General features: G+C 34.2%; 1 protein-coding gene across 2 annotated transcripts in view; it reads left to right on the forward strand.

The window, feature by feature from the left end:
- The window catches only part of B3GALT1 (beta-1,3-galactosyltransferase 1), a 581045-nt gene that overhangs the window by 164458 nt on the left and 407944 nt on the right, over positions 1-8643 (forward strand). The gene's annotated exons all lie outside the window — the stretch shown is intronic.

An 8643-nucleotide genomic window follows, 5' to 3' on the forward strand; every position in this document is an offset into this window, starting at 1 on the left:
CACCATGCCTGGCCTTCATCAGCTTCTTTACAGAATGGCCATTGTACTCCTTGTTTTATATTTACAAGCAGATCAAAGGCAGAGAGAGTGACTTCCAAAAGTTGACTCATTATTGTACTGTAGCAGCTTTTCCATAATCCATCACCAATTTTGTCTTTATATGTTTTTGGGCTGAAATCATCATATACTAATTTCTCAAGCAAATTCTGAGGACCAGCAGAATGGCTGTGGTGTAGGCTGCTCATCTTGACTGAATCACTGGGGCAAGTCATTTGGTGTTACTCTGAGTAAATTAGACTAGCAGTTCTCAAAGCATGGTCCGTGAACCAGCAGCACCGGCAGCACCTGAGAATTTATTAGAAATGTGATTTTGTGGCCCCATTCTAGACCGACCGAATTAGAAACTCTTGGGGTGCTCCCCAACAATCTGTATGTTATCAAACACTACAGAAGATTCTGTACACACTTATTTGTTTCTCTTCTATTTTCTATTGTGGTAAAATACATATAACATAAAATTTGCCATGTTAACAATTTTACAGTATGCAATTCAATGTTATTAAATACATTTATAATGTTGTACAGCCATGATCACCATCCCATCTCCATTACTCTTTCATCCTGTAAACTAAATTCTATACCAATTAGACAATAACACCCCATTTCCCCTTCTCCTCAGCCCCTAACAACCACCACCCTACTTTTTGTCTATATGATTTTGACTACCTCATATATAAGTGGAATCTTATAGTATTTGTCTTTTTGTGACTGGCTTATTTCATTTAGCAAAATGTTCTCAACTTTCATCTGTGTTGTAGCATGTGTCAGAAGTTTCTTTTTAAGGCTAAATAAGATTCCAGTGTATGTACATAACCACATTTTGCTTATCCATTCATCCACGCTTGGACACTTGGGTTGCTTCTATGTTTTAGCTATTGTGAATAATGCTGCTATGAGCATGGGTGTACAAATATCTCTTTGAGGCCATGTTTTCAATTCTTTGGGGTACATACCCAGAAGTGGAGTTGCTGGATCATATAGTAATTCTATTTTTAATTTTTTGAGAAACTTCTCTACTGTCTTCCACACCAGCTGTACTATTGTACGTTCCTACAGTGTACAAGGGTTCTGATTTCTCCACTCCCTCATAAACACTTGCTATTTTCTGTGGTTTTGATAGTGGCCATGCTAATGCGTATGAAGTGGTAAGTTTCACTGTAGTTTTGATTTGCATTTCTCTAATGCTTATTGATTTGTGGCATCTTTTCATGTGCTTATTGGCCGTTTGTTTATCATCTGAAGAAATGTCTGTTCAAGTCCTTTGCCTATTTTTAAACCAGATTTTTTTGTTGTTGTTGATTGTTAGTATATAGAAATGCAACTAAGTTTTTTGTATTGACTGTATCCTGATACTTTGCTGAACTTATCTATTTGCTAAAATCAGTCTATTTTGTCTAATATTAGTATAACCACCCCTGCTCTCTTTTGGTTAGTATTTGCCTGGAATATTCTTTCCATCCTTTCACTTTCAATCTATTTGTGCCTTTGGATATAAAAGTGAGTCATCTGTAGACAGAATGTAGTTGGATTTTATGTTTTCATTTATTCAGCTAATCTCTGTCTTTTGACTGATATTATTTCATTTACATTTAAAGTAATTAGTGTCAATGAGAGAGTTAATTCTGTCATTTTTTCACTTGTTTTCTATATACATTAGTTTTTTTATTCCTCACACCCTTATATTACTGTCTTTTATGTTTAGTTGATTTTTTGTAGTGAAGTGTTGAAATTACTCTTTTATTTCCTTTTGCATATTTTCTATCACTATTTTCTGTGTGGTTACCACAAAGATTACAGTTAACATCCTAAAGTTACAATATTATAACTTGAATTTATACCAGCTTAACTTCAGTAACATACAAAACTCTGATATAAAGATAACTTTGTTCCCAACCCTTTTCCTGTTGTTGATGTCATAAAATTACATCTTTGCATGTTTCCTGCCCTAAAACATAAACTAATGGTGGTTCTTTTAAATACATTAGTCTCTTCAAATATGTAGAAAACAAAATGTGGAGTTACAAACCAAAGTTATAAGAATACTAGCTTTGGACTAATAATTTTTTTCAAACGTACTTGTCTCTTAGGTCATGTGGAGAACAAAAAGTAGATTTACAAGTCATTATTATAATAATACTAGCTTTTACAATGGTTCATGGATTTACCTTTATTGAGTTTTTTATTTTTTCATATGGCTTCAAGTTACTGTCTGGTGTCCTTTCATTTCACCATGTAGGACTCCCTTGAACGTTTCTTGCAGAGCAGGTGCAGTGGTAATGAACTTTTGTTTATCTGGGAATATCTTACTTTCTTCCTTAATTTTGAAAGACAGTTTTGCTGATATAGGATTCTTGGTTGACAGGGTGTTTTTGTTTTTGTTTTTGTTGTTTCATTTTAGCCCTTTGAATAGGTTGATTCACTGCCTTCTGGCCTCTAAAATTCTGGTGAGAAATCTACCAAAAATCTCATTGAGAATCCCTGTATGTGAGAAGTCATTTATTTATCTTTTACTGCTTTCATGATTCTCACTTTGGAATTTAAAAGTTTGATTAAAATGATTCTTGGTGTGAATCCGTTTGAGTTCATCTTACTTGCAGTTCACTTGAGTTTCATAGAAGTTTATATTCATGTTTTTTATCAAATTTGCAAAATTATCCATTATTTCTTTGAATATTCTCCCTACCCCTTCCTCTCACTTTTCTGGGAGTTCAACAACACATATACTGTTTTGCTTGATGGTGTCCCACAGGTCTCTTACGGTCTGTTCACTTTTCTTCAGTCATTTTTCTATCTGTTTTTCAGGCTTGATAATTTCCTTTGTTCTGTTGTCAAGTTTGCTGATTTTTTTTCTTCTCCCTGCTCTGCCTTTGACTCCTTCTGGTGAATTTTTCATTTCAGGTGTTCTACTTTTCAGCTCCAGAATTTCTTGTTTCCTTTTAAAAGATTTTTTTGTCTCTTTCCTGATATTTCATTTTCTTCATACATGATTTTCGTGATTTCTTCCAAATTTTCCTTTAAACCTTTGGGCAACTTTAAGAGAGTTGTTTTAAAGTCTTTGTCTAATAGATCTGCCATCAGATCTTTTTCAGGGACAGTTTCTATTTTTTTTTTCCTTTGAATGTGCCATACTTTCTGGTTTCTTTTTATGCCTTGTGATTTTTTTGTTGAAAACTGAACATTTGAATCTAATAATGTGGTACCTCTATAAATTGATTCTTCCTCTTTCCCAAGATTTTCTGGGTTTTATTGTTGTTTTTGTTTATTATTTTGTAAGTTAAAAAAGTTGTAGGCTATCTCTGTGCCAAGTACTAAACTGAAGTGTAAACTTAAGATCTTCTTAGGTCTTTTCTGAGCCTGTGCCTTTCCCTGAGCTTGTACAATTGCTTTCTAATTTTCCCTATATATGCAGTTGCTTTTTAATATTATAATCATTAATGCCTGGTTCCTAAAAGGGGTAAAAAGAGAGAACTTAAGGGGAGGAAGGTCAGTGGTCGTTTAATTCCTTTGGAAGCCACTTCAGCTGGAGGAGGAAGGGCTTGCAACAATGGGAGGGGGATACAGCAATGGCCACTCATTTGATTGTCTGCACGTCTGTGATCAGAAGCAGTAATCAGTAATCAGAGCACAGATTCCTGATATTTGGATGACAGAGTTCATTCTGCCCACTCTGGGCCCCACAAGCCATGTACCAATTGCTTCAAGAACACATGCATAGTTGCCTGCCATAGGGCTAGGTCTAGGGGTTGGGTAGCCAGTACTGTGCTAATAGCCAAAATTGACCAAAATTAACCACAATTTGCCATTCAGTCATCCCTCTAAAAGTTTCAAACCTTCCATAGACGCCAGATTTCTAAAACAGTTATAGCAGACAGATTCTGCCAGTGCAATTGTTTTCTAGGTGGGGAGACAGATTCCTGGTGCTTCCTACTTCACCATCTTTCTAGAACCCTCTCACCTCTGTGCACAGTAAAATTTGAGAACTACTGTTTTTGACTAATCAGAGGCCACCTCTGTACCTAGAGTCAAACCCTCATACTACATGGCAAATAATTATAAAGGTTTGGAATGTACATATAGCTATAAAAATTTATAAATTATATTTATTTGATAATGAAAAATTTTCAAAAGCATTATGTTTAGTCAAATGAAGTTGTAAAATGTAATTTCCTTGAGTATATTTTAAATTAGCTAAATTCTTTTCTATTTGGATTATTTACACCATTGTTCTTCCAATTTTGGATTGTGATTCTTTTAGGCAATTACATAATTATTTTAATCACAGATATTTTAATATTTTATATGTAATGTAGAGAATATAATAGAAAATAGAGTGTAGCAATGTGACCTTTCCTTTCAAATATGTACCTATGTGTATGAACATGTATGTTTTACCATGTTGCAATATAAAATGTTTAACAACTATTTGTGTGGGGGCAAGATGCCCTAGTTGTAGTATTTGCCAATTTCTGTGGAGTAAATAACCTCCCTCACACCACTTCATAGCAGATGTCAAGCTACCAGTGTGTCATCACCGAAGGAGAATTTGGGCAAGATGCACAATACACACCATTGTATATTTCCACAATAAAAATACTATAGACATAAATAACCTCAAGAGCATATAGTAAAATGTAGTAAAGGAGTTAGGCAGTGATATGTTTGAGTGTTTATTACTTTTATTTTAATATAATTAATTTAGAATTATATAATTGAATCTTTAATAATGGCCATCTTTAGCAGCTGTCTTACAAGCTTCCTGAGAATATAACAGTTGGCTCTCAAGAGCTGATATAAACCAGCTTAAGCACGCAATTGGACTGTGCCATAAAATTTGAAAGTCCTTGATTTAGGCTACTCCTCATGGTCCTTACTGCTGACTCAAAATTTATGAGAGAAAATGGCAAATGTAATAAACGATTTCAAGACCTTTATCCTTTCCCTGGACTACATAAGCTTCTTTATTATAAGAAGAAAATCTCATTTCCATCCATTCCTCTTTTCCATAATCAAATTATTTTTCCCCTAAAAATTGGCAGCTGTATCCATCTTTATCTTAGTATACCCGATGAATTGGATTGGGGCACTGAAGGGAAGAGAGGAGTTGAAAACCATCTGACATTCAAAGGTTGGTGTAATTTTGCATCATTAGCTTCAGTGAGGAGACAGGAATCGTAATAATTTAAATGCAGTTAGCTTCTGTTGGCTGGATCACTTTCACCATTCTGAAGATTCTTTCAGTATAGATTCTTCTCATAGTAATCTTTAGCTCATTATAACACATTATATATTTTTTAAAACTAATGCTAATTATACCCATTCTGTCTGCATTTTATTTCTGTTTCCTGTAAAGGATACCAAAGGAAGCACCTTTTTCAGAGAATAAAATTTCAAATATGACAAAAAGGTAAGTGCCATATAAATTTGTTCTGTGGCACTTTTCCTCAGAGTTTTTGAGATTGTTTATGATAAAATAAATGAGAACGTATCTGTTAATGAAATTTGGTTTCTACTTCAGCTTCTGGAAAACACCATAAGCCTTTTCCTGAAGGTACAACTTAAGTTTCATCTTTCTTGCAAAATCTTTCCTAATGAGTTGTCCTGGTTATTTATTTTGTCTGTTTCTGATAACTATTATAGTTATTTTCTTGGTGGCAAAATTAGGACTTCATTGTTCTCTCACTATCTTCTTATCTGGGCCAAATTTTAAGATCTATAAGGGCAGAATCTTTTATTTTACTAATATCTCCATAATGCCTAGCAGTATCAGGAACATAGTATCATGTTGTGCCTTTTAAAGTTTATCAGAAAGAAGTGTAAGGTTCTCCACGTGAGTCTATACGGTCATCTCCTCCCTCATAATATTACTAATACACTAATAGCCTGTATTGTTTACTGCTTACTAAATACTAAGCACTATTCTAAGTATTTTACCTGTATTGTCTATAAAATTCTTCTTACAAACCCAAGGTAATAGGAAAAAAAGATATCCTGTGATCGCATGGGTTAAGGACTGGCACCCAGAAAGTTTGACTCTAAAATCTGGACCCATAATCACTTACTTGACCATTTCACATACCTATATGATAAAGCAATAGCACATGTTTCAGATGTCTGCCAACAAAAGTCCCAACTTTGATGGATTTCAGTGCTTTCAAGATTATGTAAAAGTGGAATTTAGAATTTCCAAAGTACTCCAGGAGTAGCCAAGTAAAAGATATGAAAATGCAAAGTGTAAGACCAAATGTAAAAATAGATATGAGAATAAACTGAGTAATATAGACATTTGATTTGAGCTTCTTTGAAAGTGAGAGATAAGAGTTGTATGGTAATTCATTGAAATTTTACTACAAAGACAGGAGGCATTTTTAAGATCAGACCTGACATTTTGGAACTATAGTTCACATCGTTGGCAAGGCCTGTCCAACCCCAATGATCTGAGCAAGAGCTAAGACAAGCTGTGCTTTGGGCTATGTCATCCTTTCAGAGCTCTGCCTTACTCAGGTCTGAGAAACTAAATTATTCCATCTTTAATCTTTTATATAATTTCTAACAAAAATCCAACTGAAAAGGACTTTCTGAAGCAGTTAATTTAAATGATTTATATGAGGAGTTCATTGCTAAAAACCAAGAATCCTGTGCAATTTTTTTTTTTTTTAAAAAAGGATCTATTTTCACTTAATGATTAGAAAAACCCAAAGCATCAAAGGTATGATCAATGTCCTCATGGCCCTGCTTCAGTAGTATCTTGAAGGGGTCACCTGAAAACAAAACAATGGAAATGCAAGTTCTTGATCTGTATGAAATATAATCATTCTTCTTTTCAGAGAAGAATTGAGTTTACCCTATTTTAAGTAGAATTGTTTTTCCTGTAAGAAGTTAAAATTGTTGTTTGCTACAGAAGATTTTATTTGATCAACTGAAAGTTTCATGACATTCCAATTAAGAAGAAAAATATAATCCAAACCATTTCTAGAAATAAAATGTACAGTGCTAATAGTGGTCAGTCGTCTGTTTAGTAGAATCAGAATTCATCCAATATAAAGTAGAGCGAGGCAACACAAGATAGTGGTTATGATCATAGGGGGTTGATGTGACATTTTTTAGATTAAAAACTCAGCTTTTCTGATTATTAGTTGAGTGAACTGAAGTTACCTAAAGTTTCCTAACCTCCACTTGCAAATCTTTCATATGGATATGAATGGACATATTGACTCAAAATATCAATGTAGGGAGGAATAGATATGAGATGCTGAGTGCAATGAATGAAGTTACAGTGATATTGTATATACTCAACCCTCTGCTTTTTATTTATGTATTATCCACAGCATGATTGATCACAAGAATGTTTTTCAAATTTGTATTGGCATTGTGGTCATTCTGCTCAATTGTTTATGTGTTCACATAAATAAGATGCTAGTTTAAAGTATCCAAGTTGTTCTGGAAAGGGAAGGTCTTTTAATAATAAATAAGTAAATAAATTTATTTAGATTCCAGACAAGGCATCCTCACAAGTTACTTTGGGGGTGCCTGCTACCTGCTGTATTTTAATCCTTTGTATGAAACTAAGATTTTCTTTCTAAGCTGTAATGTGAAGAGGAAAGTATTAAGTTTTAAGCAAAAGGAAAATAGTTAATAAAGTAAGAGAAAAATTAGTCCATTGAACTTGTTTGAGTTTGTGTATTTATTTTATTTTATCTTATTTTATTTTTTAGTGACAGGGTTCCAACAGTCTGTTGCCCATGGTGGAATACAGTGTGTATGTTTTTAACATTGCATAAAGTGTTCATAAAAACATCAAACATATTGTCTCAGTCTGTTCTTACTGCTATAACAAAAATACCTTAGATTGGGTAATTCGTAAATTATAGAATTTTTTTCCTCACGGTTCTGGAGGCCGGAAATGCTAGATCAAGTCTCCAGCAGATTCAGTGTCTGGGAACAGCTCACTTTCTGCTTCAAAGATGGTGCTTTGTTGCTGTGTCCACACATGGCAGAAAGGGCAGACAGGGCAAATAGCTCCCTTGCATCTTGTTAATAAGGTTATAATTTCCACGCATGAGGACTCCACCCTCATGACTTAATAACCTCTTGAATGTCCCATCTATTAATACTATTACATTAGTGATAGGTGTCAACATATGAATTTTGAGGCGATACATTTAGACCACAGCAGATATATATTTAAATGTATTTCAAAAAGAACGCCAAGAAGCAAATATACGTTATTTTACTTATCTAAAACATGGTCTAGTAGTTGAGATTAAACTGTTAAACACAATAGCACCAAGTGATAAAATATAACTTCATACACCTGCAGGGAAAGTGGACAATTTGAGGAAGATGTGAGTTGATTTTCCTCTTCTTTTCAATAAGGTTTTTTTTTTTCCCCCTCCATCTCCAAGGGCCTTTCTCACAATGACTTTTGTGAAAGAAAAGCTCAGTGACATTATCTGCAGATATTATCTGCTGCTTCTAAGTCAGTCACAGGTTTTGCTTAAAGGCAAGGAAACACATTGCTCCCAATCAGACCTTGGTGTCCCAACTTCAGAAGGCTCACTCTCCTATAAATGCAACCTCATGCCT

The sequence above is a fragment of the Homo sapiens genome, chromosome 2, assembly GCF_000001405.40.
Source record: "Homo sapiens chromosome 2, GRCh38.p14 Primary Assembly".
NCBI classification, from domain to species: Eukaryota; Metazoa; Chordata; class Mammalia; order Primates; family Hominidae; genus Homo; species Homo sapiens.